The following is a 17,751-nucleotide window of genomic DNA, read 5'->3' as shown; positions in this document are numbered from 1 at the left end:
GGCAGATGATATCTTATAATCTTTAATATGTAAAGTTTTATTTGGGAATTAACATAAAAATATAAGTCATTAGGATATTCTGTTATCATTACATTTTATGAAAGCCCACATATTCCAACCAGGAATCTATATTACCCAACACAAAAACATCTTTTTTAAACATTTCTTGTTAACACTTTTAACTTGCTAAAGATATTTTTATTAGCAGTAGAGACTTTAGCATAGCCATTATCTGAATTATCAGACATTCTGAATTAGTGGAGTCTGTCCATACAATTTTTTTGTTTTAATCTTTGGCTAGTAAGATTGTGGTAACTTCAGGAGAATTTATGTGGTATTTCCCAACTGTGAAAATGGAATCTGAATCTTTTTTTTTTTTTTTTTTTTATGTTTAGCTAGAAAGGATAGCATGGATAGCTACCTTTGGTATGTTTAAAACAATTTTTTAAAATTTGATTTTGGGGCCAGGCATGGTGGCTCATGCCTGTAATCCCAACACTTTAGAAGGCCAAGGCAGACAGACCACTTGAAGTCAGGAGTTCGAGACCAGCCTGGCCAAAATGGTAAAACCCAGTTTCTACTAAAAATACAAAAATTAGCTGGGTGTGGTGGTGAATGCCTGTAGTCCCAGCTATTCAGGAGGATGAGGCACAAGAATCACTTAAACCCAGGAGGTGGAGGTTGCAGTGAGCCGAGATACTGACACTGTGCTCCAGCCTTGGTGACAAAGTGAGACTCTGTCTCAAAAAAAAAAAAATTGATTTTGGACTACACAAAAAAAAAAAAAAACAAAAAAAAAACAAAAAAAAAAACACATCCAAAAGACGAAACATGGTAAGCTGCTTATGGGTAGTGAAATTTCAGAGGATTTTTTTTCTGGCTTTCACAGCAAAATTTCTTAAAGTGAACATGTACTTAGTTTAACTGGGAAACATTAATTTTTCAAAAATATATTTTTGAAATAATAGGAATACAATAACATCTAGAAACTCCAGGGATATGATTCTTTTCTATCATTAAGACATATGTTTTAAACTCAAGCCATTTGGGAGCGTGTATTTCTTTCCACTTCCTGTAAATCTCTTCAAGAATTCCATATTAAGAGGTAGAAAAGGTAGCAATAGCAGCAGAACAGTGACTGATGTATACATGGAAGGGGCTAAAAGTCAAAATCACATTATAAGTTACATTCCATTACAAAAATGCTGGAAATTTTGAATCATTAATTATTTAATGTAAGTGTATCAGAGGGCTGACAATTATACTTTTGAACCTCCGTTCTTATGGTGTCTGTTATAATAGAAAAATAATCCCTAAAGCAAAAGGGTGCTTTTCAGATGAAAAGATATGCATCTCCTTGTTCCACTTCCTTTTGATCATTCATGTACTATGTTACCATCCTTTTATTTTTAATCAACTGCCAAATCTACTTTTTCTCCTTTACAAACCCTTCTATCTTTTTGTTAGTACAAGAGAGAAGACAATTTCTAGACTTGCAACTTCATTTATCTTAAAAAGGTGAATGAACTACAAGAAAAGGTAACTTTTACTATAAGCATAAGCCACCTGAACATAGTTCTGTCATTTTCTGTTTTATATTAAAAGGTAGTAATTATAAAAAATAACTAAATATAAAAAATAATTATATAAAAAATAACTAAAGTTGACATCTTTATACAATCGGAAAAAATTTTGTTTATCCTAAAGTAGCATAAATTTTAGTTGGGAAGCATTTTTTTTTAAGCAGTAATGACTAGGAAATGAATATATTTAAGAGGTGGCTTATAATTAAAATGCAAATACTGTATACCATGCTTCTAGCCTCTACACACTTTAAAAAGGTGTTTTGTACTATAATTTAAATGTCTTGTTTTTTGAAAACAGCTAACCATCATTCCATTTTACAAGGAAAAAAGATACACCTAGAATAATCTAATTCCTTTTTAAATTCTTTTAAATTCCTTTTTAAATTCTTTTAAATTCTTTTTTTTTTGAGTCAGAGTCTCGCTCTGCTGCCCAGGCTGGAGTGCCATCTTGGCTCACTGCAACCTCCACCTCCCAGGTTCAAGCAATTCTCCTGCCTCAGCCTCCCAAGCAGCTGGGACTACACGTGTGCACCACCATACCTGGCTAATTTTTTGTATTTTCAGTGAAGATGGGGTTTCACCATGTTGCCAGGCTGGTCTTGAACTCCTGGCCTCAAGTGATCCACCTACCTCAGCCTCCCAAAGTGCTAGGATTACAGGCGTGAGCCACCACACCCAGCCCCTTTAAAAATTCTTAATTTCTGAATTCTGTTTATCATATGAATATCAAGTTGGATTTTAGGATAACTTCTAAAAGCATTATAGGTTAGAAAAAATATGTATATATGTATAAGCTACAAACAGGAATATTTTATCATTAACACAAATATGGAAAGATCATTATTGGTCATAATAAAATTTGGTCATAATAAAAATTTAGATACTTAGGGTTGGAACACATGATAAAAACTGTAGAAATACCTTTCCTGGCAAATATTTTAAGAGGATTAAATTAGCAGTATTAATGATACCCTACCTGGAGAGTCTTGAAGAATTCTATTAAAATTACAACATAGGTAGAACTAGAATTAACATAATAAAGTGACTGATTACAAAAGTGTAAACAGACATTCCTATTTGATCTGAGCATGGTTCCCCTCTCTTCTGATTAAGAGAGAAAGAAGGGAAACTTATTTAAATGGTTAACATTTAGTTAACAACAATATGAGTAGATGGAACAGGAAAATAAGGTGGGAAATACATATTTAAGCCCTACGAAAGGAAATGATCTCAATATGTTTGGTTTCAAAAGAGTTGTAATAAAAAAGCTTATTTAATAGTAAAGTTGTAAATCTCACTAGTTGCCCAGAGTCAATATTTTTTTCTGCAGGTCACTGTAATAGTCTTCTACTATGAGCCAGATAAAATAAAGCATTTAACAAATAAGTGTCAAATCAGAAATATATGTGTAAAATGTCTTGAATATAAAGTGCTATACAAATTAAAACATGTTAATATCAAAACAGTTTATTATTACTTTGTAAAACTAAAGTATGAAGGTTTACCATACTTTTTTTTTTAAAAAAAGAAAAAACAAAAACAATTGCCTGCTAAGGTAAGTACTTGTAGATAGTAAACTGTGTATTAAAAGACCCTGCAATTACGCCCCTTAACTGCACTGAAACTCAGGTACAGGGGACGTTACTACATGATTATACTATTTATAAGACACACTTCTGACCACTATATAAATGCATGGGCACATAAGACAATATGACACTTTAAAATTCTCTTTAAAATAGCTATTTTATATAGGGCACAAATAGCCTTATATAGTTTTATTTTATGTAACAACAACAAAAACCCAAAAATGAAAACAAAAAAATCCAAAGAATAAATAAAACAGACATTAACACCATTAACACATTATTAAGAAAGTGCCTCTGAAATCCTGCGAACATGCAATACTTCCATACAAACTCCTGCATTAGTGTAACTTACAGGGTTACTTTTTAAATGTACATAGTATAATACTGAATATACCTCAGTACAGAGGAAATGTTTGGTTATATATATGACTACTCCTTTTATTTTAATATTTGTAAGTTATGTCCACATATATAGTTCAAACTATATATTTAGATATTACCACTGCTCTTCCTTTGAATGCAGCTTTGGGTAATATCCAACCCAGCCACAAGATTCAATGGACTCTATAACTTAAATTACTCTGTAGAGCAATAACAAATACTGAGTGCTGTGTAGAGAAGTATTAGCCTAGATTTTCCTATGACATTCTTTTCAGAAAATTCTTTCACTGGGAAAATTTCTTAAAAATACAGAGTTAATATACTAATCTTTAAACAACTGAATACTGGAAATCAGGGTTCAGTTTTTACCAGGCTACTAAGATAGAGGGAAATACAGACTTTACATGAATAAAAAGCAATGCCTATTCAAAATGACTATATTAAACATGTAGGCCATTGCTCTAAAGGAATATAAAGCAGCCACTGAAAATGCTAATTTTTTAAACAATAATTTAAATTAGCAGAGTCTAATTTAAAAACAGCTATTTTTGAACATTATGAACTAACTAAACCTTGTTTTGACTCATTCAGAAACTCAGTTCTATAATTACAGATGTGCCCAATGCACATCCAGCACCCTGTGTCATAGTATCAATTCTTTATGAAATGACTGTGCTATGCTGCATAGGCCAAAGCAAGGGCTGACATCATCCTGCTGGCACCCTCCTGTGACATTTTCAAATCATGCTGGCTGGCTAATTCTTACTCTCTCTAATCCAAACTGCGGAGTCATCCATCAGTCGATCAATCGGAATGATGTCTGCACAGCATTTTTGTATTAAGTATGTTCTCTGAAGACTATTTGGCAACATTTTAAAAGGTATGCTTATATGTTTCATTGGGGCCCCACTATCTCACAGTAGTTAACCTAGATTAAAAAAAAAAGCTATTAGCACTCAACACAGAGGTGCTCAGCCAGGAAGAAACAAAATGTAGACCAAACTTTAAACTGTACAATCAGACCTGCACATAAATTTATCATGAAGAGGAAACAAATCTGTAACAATGAATAAAAATATACAACTTGTCTTTAAGTCATTTAAACATGAGAAAATCCAAGTTTATGCTTCCAATTTGCCCATGGGTATTCATAATACAAAAAGTCTTCTACCATATAATTCAACAAAACATTCTTAGAAATAGTGCATTGAAAATGCTGAATGTGATTTTTTGATATCGCTCTTAAGTCTCCTTTAAAAAATATACCTATTTAAAATCAGGTTTCTAAGCATTCAGTGGTACATCTCTTAAGGGAAGTATGAAACACTGAAAGTTAAACATATAGTTAATATTTTCAATCCTGACATTTATCAGATAAACACTATTTTGCAGAGTAGAGAAATCAGAAACATCTATAGTTTATTGATGCTTTTAACTATGAGTTATTAATGAATGATATATAGTAAGAACGAACCCAACTGCAGGAATACCAAAGGAGAAGCACAGAGAGCCCATGTGACTTTTTCATGCTTAATTATCACCATCAATTATTTAGTGCTGAGAATGCATTACGTGCTGTTCAGGACTCAAAATGCACATAGACTTGAGTATGTCACATCCACAAATACAACACAGAATTCCTGGTCACCAGGACTTTGTGATAAACACAAGAGCCCTTTCTTGATCAATTTCTAAAGGAAGGGAAGAACTAGAGTAGTCACCTTTCATGACAAATTAAATAATTATTAACAACAATAACTGCTTATCTTTAATATACCTTGCACTGCTAGAAGCTGCTCCTCTGTGGTCCAACGGGCATTAATTTTCTGATTTGACTACAAAATTAAAGAGAAGTTTCCTAATGAGGATATGAAGACAGACATTTTCCAAAGCGCTTATTTTTTTAAATTTTCATCAAATCACAGACATGAGATTACTACAACTCTGATTCATGAAGATTCCATTTTTAGAAAGATTAAAAATATATATTCTGAGTTACCTTTTACCCATGCAGAAAGATAATGAAAGGGAAATGTACCAATTTGCAAGAAGGAACAACATTCGCATTTATGCTCTAATTAGAGATATCAAAACATGAGAAAGTCTATTAGTTTCCCATTTCCCAACGGGGTTTCACTGTGTTAGCCAGGATGGTCTCCATCTCCTGACCTTGTGATCTGCCTGTCTCGGCCTCCCAAAGTGCTGGGATTACAGGCGTGAGCCACCGCGCCCAGCCAAAATATTTCTTAAAATTTCTGAAGCAGAAAGTGATCCTGGTAAGAATATTTTTTTCTCCAGACACCCCCAATATTTCTCCCCACAAAAATCCTAAATTTAGGATTTTCAGTATGGTAATATTACAACAGCAAATATCTAATCAGACTTCATTAGTGTATACCCACTGAGTGGTAAATCAAGGACCTTTGACAGTAGATGGACAGAAATAACTACACCAGCATGCAGGGGTTTGCAGAAGGAACTGCCAAGATAAAGTGGCTTGGTGTAATACCGAGGCATGTTGGGCAAAACAGAAAGAGGGCTTCCTTTGAGAAGGGGCGTTTAGGTCTTACCTCACTTATGGTCTTAGCAATAAGAGTTTCTATAGCACACAGAGGTTCTAGGTAACACCAGCTTTCTCACCAAAAGTAAGGAGGTGCAAGTACTCAGAATGAAGAATGAAACAAAAACCCAAAGTTAAAAAAAATTTGTTAGAGGAGAAATGAAAAAGTAAAAAAACGGAGTTAGAATTAAGGAGAGAAAAACCTAAAACGAACCACTGTATTCCAGATGAGGAGATTAAAAAGGGACAGCAGGGCAGGCAAGGTAGTAGACAGTGGATACGCCTCAAGGTTAGGAACCTGGTGATAAGGCAAAGGAAAAACAGTAAAAAGGAAAAGAGAAAGGGGAGAATAGGACAAAAACTATGAGAGACATAAAGAAACAGTAATAAAAGAGCACAACAAATCTAAAAAAGTTAAAAAAGAAAAAGGAGATAGGAAAAATTAGGTAAACATATGTTCCCCCAAAAGGGAAGTAACAAGAATGGAGGAGGAACTCTATTCAGAAGGGATATATATTGTTAATTGAGACCCTAACTTTACACTAAGGAAGTTCACACTGAGTTCATGCACAGGCAATCTGATGCTACCTTGGCTGTGGAAGGTGGATAAAAAAGGCCCTTGGTACCCAAGGATAACTGGTACTGAAATCAATTTAAAACAGGTCAAAATATTTTATAGTAAATGGTAAGAAAATAAAAGGTTGATTGCAGTTCAATCTGAAATGTGAAACTAAAACCTGTAGAAATTAGTTTTTTTAAAAATAGTTAATGACGTGTTTAATACACTTTATTTTTTGGCGTATCTTTTCTGACTATACAATGGTGCAACATCCTTTGGCTTTGAAATTTACATGATCATAAAATGGGTCATTTTTTGTTTTAAAGGCTTATTGAAATAATTTTCTCAAGGGCCTCTCTTAATACTTTGTTCTCAAATTATTCTTTTGTGAAGTGCTTGCCTGTGAGTGATCACTTTTTTCTTTAATGGTTAATTCTGCTGGATACTCATCTGTCAATTCTGTAGGTGACTAATGTCATTCTCTTGCAGTTTAACAGACTTCATGAAGTTTCTCATCTTTTGCAAAGTACGCAATTTCATTTTGGTTTGTGTTGTATTTGCATTGTATTAGCAAGAGAGTGACAGAGAAGGATAATGATGTAGTGAATGGGACAGATAACAGCTACAGCTAATTAGGAAGAGTTGGTGAGTAGAGCCTAATTTTATAAATGATTGGTTTATTAGTCAGTGTTCTTGTTTGGCAATTTTTGCTTCTCCATGCATTACATGGATTAATGACCAGTTGGATATCGAGGATCTTCTGTACACACAACTTGCAGTAACTATGTTGTAGGTTGCTCTAAGGATTAAATATAACTAAATATGAGGATATATTTAGACTATATCTAAAAAGGCATCTGGCACACTGCCTAAGCAAATAAAAGTTGATCAATTCATGTTTATTAAATCTGAAAGAAACTGGAGGGAAAGGTATCATTAATGAAAAGGTAACAAAATGAAAGAAAACATGCATTATGAAAATTTTTTTTCATCTAAACTTCAGAAAGCTTACAAATCAGAAGATGAATGAATACAAATAACTTTAAAGTTAAAAAGTACAGAGTATACAGGGGAATTTCAAGACGGGAGAAAAAGTCACAATGATTTAAGTGGGGAAACAGAACAAGGAAAGGTTGGAGACTGAGATGGTTTTAGAATAGGAAAAGCTTCTGAAAGGCAAATAATGGGAAGGCAATCCACATGTAAGGGAAAACGGGATTTGTGTCAGTAAGAAGTGATAGCCTGGAAAGTTGGTGATATTTAACTAAATTAAAATACGATAAGGGCCATCCACTTTTGGAAGGGTAGTAAAAATCAAGGTTGATAAGTTCACACAAAATTTAATAAGCAATAGTTGTGTTTTGTTTTGGGGGGCAAGGGGTCAGAGGTGTGATCATAACTAAAATAAGACTTTAATCCTGGAAAGCTGGGAGAGGGACAATGCTGTTAAGAACCTGAGAAATCAAGAAATGCTGATGTGGGAGATGTGGGAAGGTGAGGTTAAGATTTAATTTAATTTGGGATACAATGAGAATGAGGTATTCGACATTCAGGTGGAGTTCAGGTTCCACTTGAGGCTAAAATCAGATTCATTTATTTAAACACAATTTTGAAGACTCTGGAAAATTTTTATAAGAAAAAACAATGGAGTCATATCTTACTCAGGTCTAAAATTGGCCTATAATTATTTTTTAAATTTTTTTTTCAAGATTACTCTTGAAATGTCTTTAAAAAGGTAGCCAGAGACAGGCACACAGTCTGTCAACACACCCACACAGCCAGGTATTCCTCCAGCATTGGAGTGGACCACTAGTTTTTCGGTTAAACCACAGATGAAGCTGTTGGCTTGAATTTAGGGTAGTGTTTTACACACACACACACGCACGCACGCATACACACTAGAGTCTCCCTCAGTTCAAAGAGACACACAGAAGGCATGCAGAAACTAAGACTGACTAAAGAAATAGTGGATTCTCAATTCTCAGCTCACTACTGCTCATTGTGGGGCATACATTCAATAAACGGAGTGTAAGCAGAATTGCCAGCACTACTGCACTTGCTATTGCTAAATATTCTTTCTCTCTTTTATTTGACTGAATGTCTGGATAAATTTGTGTAATTTAAATGAACATATGATATGACTTTAACACAGTAAAATAATGAGATTGTGCATCCAAGACAGGGGAAATGAATTTTGAGAACAACTTGGAGAATGCCTACATGTATAGAAGACAAACCAGGGAACAGAAGAAGAGTTATAAAAGAGAACATAACCTCTCAAAAGTTAAAGGAAGAAAAAGAAGGGTAGTCATCTATATCAAGGGTTCAGAAAAAGGCAAGGGGAATCAGAAGTTAAAAGTTGTGGAATGTGGTCATCAGTGCCAATGCTAACCTTTATAAGAGGCAGCTCCGTGGAAAAATGCAGAAGGGGCTGAACGTGGTGGCTCACACCTGTAATCCTAGCACTTTGGGAGGCCGAGGCAGGTGGATCACTTGAGCCCAGGAGTTTGAGACCAGCCTGGGCAACATAGCAAGATCCCGTCTCTACTAAAATTACAAAAAATTTGCCAGGTGTGGTGGTGTGCCTGTGGTCCCAGCTACTCAGGAGGCTGAGGTGGGAGAGTCACCTGAGCCCAGGAGATGGAGGTTGCAGAGAGCCGAGATCATGCCACTGCACTCCAGCATGGGTGATGGGAGTGAGAGTGTCTCAAAAAAAAAAAAAAAAAAGAAAGAAAGAAAAAGAAAAATGCAGAGGGGACGGTTGAAACTGTATAGGATTAAACAGTGTGTGACAAGTGGAAGCAGAAGAGGGGGAAGAGTGAAGAAAAAATAGGGTCAAAAATTTTAAATATACAGGACTCACATAAGTTATTGATTTTAATATTGTCTTTTAAACCTGAGAAACTTTGGTAAAGATTAAAGAAAGAACTAGAATATATCTAGGAATCTAAAACTGCGTGGTAGCTGTAGTTAGCTACATGGTATCACAGAGTATATTCTTCTACAAAAACACCTATCTGAAATGCTGTTGATTTAAAAATAACATAATAATATAAAATAAGACAATCTAATATATAATAATATGAAAGGTACCAAAAAGCCTTCTAGAACGATCTATGACACGCTTAGTGAATTCGGCATTTTCACTCCATCCTTTCCCCGCTAAATTGTTTTCACATCTTTCCCATTTTCGTGAGTGGTAGATTCATACTATCTCTGAGTTGAAAGAGATGGAAAATGTCACCAAATTAAATCTTCTACTCGATGCTGAAAATTCCACCCAACATCCATAATGAAAGGATGTCGTCTACCTTTGCAGGAAAACAACTATAGATGGGGAATTTACAGCTTCAAAAAGCACTCTTTTTTCAGTTACACTTATTCTTCCTTCTGGATTCATCAATCTTTCCTCCACCTACCCATTTACCTCCATCCAAAACAAATCAAAGCAGAAGACATGCCAGCGACACCCTCAACACTCTCACATACTTTCAAGGAGACATATTAATTTTCTACCTTGCAATGTTCTTTGGGTTTACTACTTGCTTCCATTCCTATAACTAATACCCAACCCTACTGATACCCCTTTATCATTGACGACTTACATGCTTAATATTTTAGCAGCTATCAAGTTTCCCTGTTCTAATTTATCCTGTATAATAATGTCATAACTTTTCTAAAATTAAAAATTTTCTTTACATCCTTCTGTACTAAAGAAACTAAAGGGTCTTTCCATTTGACTTAATTTAAAAGACAAACTTCTCTTTCTGGCTTTCTTTTCTTTTTTTTTTTGAGACGGAGTCTCACTCTGTCACCCAGGCTGGAGTGCAGTGGCGCGATCTCAGCTCACTGCAAGCTCCACTTCCCGGGTTCACGCCACTCTCCTGCCTCAGCCTCCCGAGTAGCTGGGACTACAGGTGCCCGCCACCACGCCTGGCTAATTTTTTTGTATTTTTAGTAGAGACAGGGTTTCACTGTGTTAGCCAGGATGGTCTCGATCTCCTGACCTCGTGATCCGCCCGCCTCGGCCTCCCAAAATACTGGGATTACAGGCATGAGCCACCACGCCTGGCCCTCTTTCTGGCTTTCACAAGGACTTTATACTCTGACCCTGCCCACTGATGTCTATCACAAAGATGCCCCTACTCAACCCTGCTAACATCTCTCATATACCATGTTCATTCCTTCTCTGCATCCAAGTTTGCCTTCCTAAGTAGACAATATGCTTTTTGAGAAAAGACTGTTTTACATTTCCATGGAATCCTCAATAGCTATTAATTAGCACAATAATGAGCACATAATAAGTGCTCAGGGAATACCTGTTGACTCATTTTTAAAAGTGCTTTTAATTTTCCCCTACTAGATTTATATTTTTGAATGTACTGTTCAACACTAAACCATTGCTATTATTCCCTCTGCCTGGAATGACCTCTATGGTCCTTTCTGTATGTGCAAAAAAATCCCTCTTATCCTTCAAACCTCAGCTGCAGTATTCCCCCTCTAAGAAGTCTTCTCTAACTGTCCTTGCCAGAATGAATAATGCCCACTTGTTTCCCTGTATACTTTGCTTATAAATCTATCATACAACTTTGATCAGTTTGTCTTATAACATCTAGACTGCAAGTTCTTTTTTTTTAAAAAGCAGGTGGAAAAATCACATCATCTTGTCCACATCTTTGTGTTCCCCCTTCCCACACACTTCTCACCGGGCCTAACACAGTGCCTCATATGAAACAGTTAATCAATAAATACTTGTGGAAGTGAATGGACTTTCTTCAACCCATTTTTCCCTAAATGAAAATAAGAAATACAACCAAATTAATAAGTAAAGCACTTTACTAACAGCTTACTTTTAGTAGAGTTACTTCACTTGATGGCTTATTGTAATTATTCCAAAGCTTATTAACATTCTTTGATTAGATATGGTTTAAACTAAAGGTAAGGAGATAGATTACCTGATTCTTCAAGTTCTTTACTGTACTTGTTAATCTGAAACACATCTATTCAAGTTGCCTTCCTCTCCAAAGCAGTAAGAACAATATGACAAATATAAGTATATCCTGAGGACTCTCTAGATGATACAACATATATACATTTTTCATATCATATAAGTTCAATAAATCAACCCAAAGTAATATCCAAACTTCAGTATATGGATGGTGGAGTGTTAACATTTTGGTTATTTTATTTTGATCATTATTTTTATAATAAATCAAAAATTACAATAAATATCTGATAACTTCTCACCCAATAGCTGCATTAAAATGTGGAAATGTAATATACAATTTTGCTATTACATAAAAACTTCCAAATGTAAGAGGCAACATGACATATACTAATATAGAAGTCCAATCAGGACTCTGAAAAGATGAGCTATAGCCAGAGTTTCATTATTTACTAGTTCTGTCACCTTGAACAAGTTGGTTAACCTCCCTGATTTCCAGTTTCCTCATGTAAAATAATAGTATCTGGTTCACCTATCTGTATGGATTTACATAAAAATCAAATGAGATAGCACATAGGGAAGCTATAAAATGCTACTGGACTTTAACATCTTTCTTTATATAAAGTTAATGAGTGAGACTGTCCTATAATTTTATGGAAAATATGAGATTAGAATTATCCTTTTCTTGAAAACTTAGTAAATGTTTTCTGTAAAACTGTCTGGGCCTGGAGTTTTCTTGTGAGAGAAAAATGTTAATTATTCTTTCGTTTTATTTAATGATTACTAATTATTCAGCTTTTCTTTCTTTTTCAGGCAATTTTGATAAGACACATTTTCCTAGGAATTTCAATGTTTTATTTTTCACACTTACTAGTATCAAGTTCTTCCTGCTATTCCCATAATGTTTTTAATATCTGCGGTATTTTATTTACATTTTAGATTACAAAATTATAGACAGTTAAAATTGTTTGCTTTCATGCATTTTAGTGCATAATACAAAATTAAAATAATTTTTGTTGCAATAATATAACAAAATAAAATAGTAATTTTTGGTATTATATTATCCTTAAATAATTGTTACTAGAATGTTTGTCAGTCTACCTGTGGTCAAGGAATGAGATATCAGTCTTTGTATTATTTTTCACTCTTTTCCATAACCTAACCTTCTTGAAAGAGATTATTCAAAACAGTGAAAAACAACTTTTTTCATAAGTCTTCCTTTCTGAAAGACACTGATGACTAAGATGGCATATGGTACATAATTTCTGAAGTACTACTGTTCTGCCTCCCCATAGCCCCTCACATAAATTTCATCTGTAGATGTTTCAGTCAACCAAGTTCTTTTCCCCTTCTGGGGAAAAAAAGTCCCAATAAGAACAAATAAGATTATTTGATTATCACAAACACAGAAAGGCAAATCCAGGATATGAAGCATAATAAGGAAATGTTAAAGAGAGAAAAAAGATATAATAGAAGCTCCTAGAAAAAGACCTGATTGGACCTTAAGGGAATGTTAAGTACCCCTATAATTACCACAGGTATCAAAAACATATTTAGGTTTCAACTGAAATAGAAGACTTGAGAAAATGGTCAATCTATACCTTGTTTTTGTAAGTACAAGAATGTAAGTCCACATACTAAAATCATAAGTGGAAGCTGAGCCAAAGACAATTATCTTAAATTAAAATAAAAATTCGTTAAAATAATCTAGCTTGTTTTCATGATATTTTTCTTGCCGTGTTACCAATTCACACAAGCAGGAAAGGGCTTTCAGCAAACATTGCTGTAGACCCAGAAATACACTAGCTTGCTCGTCAATGAGCTTCTAGTTTCACATACACTGTTCCTACTACTATTTTCCCTAATTGTTGGCTTGCTATGAATTTCTAAGGGCAGGAAATAAATAATTTAACTTAAATACAAAATGATTAACCAAGCCTCATAAGATCATCTAAATAAAAAGAGACATAATAAATTATCCATATTATGAAACCTTCAAAGTATTAATGATGCATGTGACCAAAATAGTACTTGGGCACTAGATAACTGAAAAAACAAGTTTTCACTATACTTAATCACATGTATCCTTCAATAACATACCTCAGGAGGTTTGAATTCTTCAATTCCACCTTCCATTTTCTGTTTAAGTGCACTGTTTACTTGCTTAGCATTCTGAACCTTCAACAAAATAACCCCAAATGTGAATCAGATCGCGTACTTAGGTAAATTTGTGAGTACTCAATTAAGTGAAAAGAATATATTCCAAACCCCTCTTAAATTTTATTTTAGGAGAATAGTCATACTAATCACACTTGGGGTATGACATGCCACTAATTCAACTTATACATGTATGAACTAATTAAACATCTAACAGACTAAAACACTCTGAATATCTTTGAATATCATGGTTTTGAATATCTTTTAGCAACAACTTTTATAACCAAAGACAACTGGCATACATAGGAATTAAATTCCACCAATTTTTCTCATTACCATAGTGTTTTGACTAAATAAGAATTTTTCCAATAGTAATGATGATGGTAGCTAACATTTATTAGATATTTATTATATATAAAACATCATTCTCAGTCCTTTATATGTAATAAATCACTTAATTCTCAAAACCACTCTGTGAGGTAAGTACAATCAGTTCTGCTATAACATGATAAATACATTAAAAGTCACTGAACTAGCCAGGTACAGTAGCTCATGCCTAAAATCCTAGTGTTTTTGGAGGCCAGGAGTCTGAGACCACCCTGGTAATATAGTGAGAACCTGTCTCTATGAAAAAAAAAAAAAAAAAAAAAAATTAGCTGGTCATGGTGGCATGAACCTGTAGTCCTAGTTATTCAGGAGGCTGAGGTGGGAGGATTGCTCAAGCCCAGGAGTTCAAGGTTACAGTGAGCTGTGATTATGCCAATGCACTCTAGCCTAGGCGACAAAGCAAGACCCTGTCTTAAAAAAAGGCTGGGTGCGGTGGCTCACGCCTGTAATCCCAGCACTTTCGGAGGCCAAGGCAGGCGGATCACGAGGTCAGGAGATCAAGACCATCCTGGCTAACATGGTGAAACCCCGTCTCTACTAAAAATACAAAAAATTAGCCGGGCGTGGTGGCGGACGCCTGTAGTCCCAGCTACTCAGGAGGCTGAGGCAGCAGAATGGCGTGAACCCAGGAGGTGGAGCTTGCAGTGAGCTGAGATCGCGCCGCTGCACTCCAGCCTGGGCGACACAGCGAGACTCCGTCTCAAAAAAAAAAAAAAAAAAAAAGAAAGAAAGAAAGAAAAGTCAGTGTGTGCTATGCAAAATTCATAATAAAAACCACAGGGCTTGTAGGGTAAAAGAGGTTGGGACACAACATTAAAAAACTTCAATGACACATAAGACAGGAACCTAATAAAAATGGCAACACAGTTTTACACAATCTAAATGATTTGTTTTTAATCCATAAATGCTACAACAAAGACAGTACTTTACCTTGAAAAAAAACCTGAAGGTTGCTTATGGAAGTGGGAGTCAAAATGGTTGTAGTTTGTGAATTATTATGCAAGTGGTAGGAGGGTTACTTGAAATCAGATGAAAAGTTTTAACACCATATATGTATGGTTCATAACATACAGTGAATTGAGGTAGCTGCTACATGTTTGAGATGTGTGTGCGCTCAGTTCAGCTGGGTACATTTTGTTTTGCTGACAAAAATCATACATAAACAAACAAAAAATTCATGTTATGCTCAAATTTTTCCAGAGTATATTAACTGCATTAGGACAAATCCACATTTTCAAAAAAAGTTATAGCAGAACAGACTCTACTTATATTATAACAGTTTTACAGATGAGGAATATAAGGCACAGAGAAGTTAAGAAACCTTCCTAAGGCTAGGAGATACAACCTGAATTTAAACTATACCAAGTTTTTAACTTTTACTCTACTAGCAATATTATTAGTCTCCATTTAGACTGTTAAGGGTTAGGATTGTTTACTTTTTTCCTCTGTTTTTCCCCCCTAGTGTGGACAACGAAATACTTATAATTTATGAACTATTTTCACTAGAGATCTTAAAACCACAGCTAAAATGCATAAAATCTAGGATGGTTCAAGGGTAGTCAGCTGGCCATGTTAGATAGACATACAGAGATAAAATGTAAAGTCTGAATTCTCGAGGATTTCATAGACTAGTGGGGAGATAAGTAAACATAAACCTATGATAAACGCTAAAACACCTAACATAGACTTGGAGAGAGAAAGAGAGAGAATGAGAGAGTAAATGTGCTTCTATATATGTTGATGAACAGGTGGTGGGGAAGATTAGGGAAAGTGTTCCAAAGAAAAGGACAGCTAAACTGAGTTTTAAAGAATTAAACTGGCAGACAAGCTTGGGAGGAGGGACTGCATTCCAGGCAGAATAACGCTTAGGAAGACAGAAAAGCCCTAAGGTGAAAAGGCAAGAAGTTAGACTGGGGCCAGACCGAGGAATTTTAATTTTGCCTAAAGATTGAAGGAAACCTAAAGGATTTTTAAGCAAGGGAACAAAATGACCATATATGCCTTTTAGAAAGACACTTCTGGTAGTAATGTGAAGAAGAAAATAGGGTAAAGAGGATGGAAATTAATTTAACAATCCAGGTGAGAAATAATAAATAATTAAGAAAACTTTCATTAAAACTGTAGGAATGAAGGAAGGATGGTAGTGGTATGCAGAGATTAAAGAAATACCTTGGAAACAAAATTAAGACTTATTTATTTATTTATTTATTTATTTATTTATTTTTGGAGACAGAGTCTCACTCTGTCGCCCAGGCTAGAGTGCAGTGGCGCGATCTCGGCTCACTGCAACCTCTGCAGCCCGGATTCAAGCTATTCTCCTGCCTCAGCCTCCTGAGTAGCTGGGATTACAGGAGCCTGCCACCATGCCTGGCTAATTTTTGTAGTTTTAGTAGAGACGGGGTTTCACCATGTTGGCCAGGCTGGTCTTCAACTCCTAACCTCGCGATTCACCTGCCTCGGCCTTCCAAAGTGCTGGGATTACAGGCATGAGCCACTGCACCCGGCCAAGACATCTTTGTAAATACCTGATTGTGGAGAATTAGGGGGAATTGAGGCTAACTGGTCACTGGCTTCAGTAATTGAGAGTATGTGGCACTACTCACTGAGACAGAAAATACAAAACGTGGAACAGATAACTATGGTGAGTGTGGAAGAACTCAGTTTGAACACTGCATATGAGATGTTTGTGACATAAAAGTAGCAGTGGTTAACAGGATTTGTAAACCCATGAGTGCAAACCTTTACTGTGTCACACATCAAATGAATAACCAAGTTAGGAAGTTAAAGCTTAAAGTGCCTTCTAAAAAAATCAATAAAAATAGTCCCTAAGTGTAGGAGTAGTAGTACTGAGAATGAAGTATGAATACAGGTGACTGAGTACACTTTATTCCTTTATGTTTTTAGTGCATTTAAAGTATTACAGCAAATGATTTAGAAGTTTTCTAAAGAGGATTGCTGTGGTTTGGAAGTTAGGCATCTTGCATTCATAGTTTGACTAAAGGCTAAGCATTTAACCAAATATGAGATGCGTTGGTGGTATAGTGGTGAGGATAGCTGCCTTCTAAATATGTACTATAAACACACATACTCCAGAGAGTCACAAAGTCAAGTGAAAGAAATTCCAAAAAGAAAGACATGGCTGACAGTGTCAAACATTACTGAGTAGTCAAAGGAGCTAAAAACCAGGAAGGCAGCATTAGATGTTGGCCACTTGTTCATAAGTGATTTTTTTTTTCTACTGTAAACCTTGAACTCCTAGGCTCAGGCGATCCTCTCTCCTCAGACTCTCTTGTGTTGCTAGGACTACACTACAGATACACACAACCACGTTTGGCTATTTTTAAAATTTTTTTTATAGAGATGAAGTCTCACTATGTTGCTCAGGCTGGTGTCAAACTCCTGGCCTCAAGTGATGTTCCTGTCTTGGCCTCCCAAAGTGTTGGGATTACAGGCATGAGCCACCATGTCAGCCCATAAATGATCTTCGGAGAGGTGTTTCAGTAGAACTGGAATACCATACGGGGCAGAAGCTAGATTAGAAAGGGTTGGAGAATAAGTTTTGGTAAGAAAGCAGAGGAAGCAAATGT

General features: G+C 35.3%; 1 protein-coding gene across 26 annotated transcripts in view; it reads right to left on the bottom strand.

Moving 5' to 3' along the window:
- Positions 1-17,751, bottom strand: part of RCOR3 (REST corepressor 3) — a 57,020-nt gene that overhangs the window by 6,912 nt on the left and 32,357 nt on the right. For 14 of the 26 annotated variants that reach the window (NR_146432.2, NR_146433.2, XR_007061955.1 and 11 more), the window contains 2 exons: positions 13,721-13,798; positions 5,334-5,391 (listed from right to left, as the gene is read on the bottom strand). Coding sequence is in view for 19 of the 26 variants with exons in the window: in XM_005273191.6 (XP_005273248.1) it covers positions 5,334-5,391; positions 13,721-13,798 (136 nt within the window). In the remaining 7 variants the exon portion in view is untranslated. Of the gene's footprint in view, positions 1-5,333; positions 5,392-9,768; positions 9,892-11,630; positions 11,665-13,720; positions 13,799-14,888; positions 17,695-17,751 lie in introns of those variants that run through there. The other 12 variants (XR_007061958.1, XM_011509748.3, XM_047425021.1 and 9 more) reach the window with 5 other exon arrangements.

Source organism: Homo sapiens, chromosome 1 (assembly GCF_000001405.40).
Source record: "Homo sapiens chromosome 1, GRCh38.p14 Primary Assembly".
Taxonomy (NCBI): Eukaryota; Metazoa; Chordata; class Mammalia; order Primates; family Hominidae; genus Homo; species Homo sapiens.
Note: the sequence above shows the minus strand (reverse complement) of the source record. Positions and strands in the feature narration are given on the sequence as shown.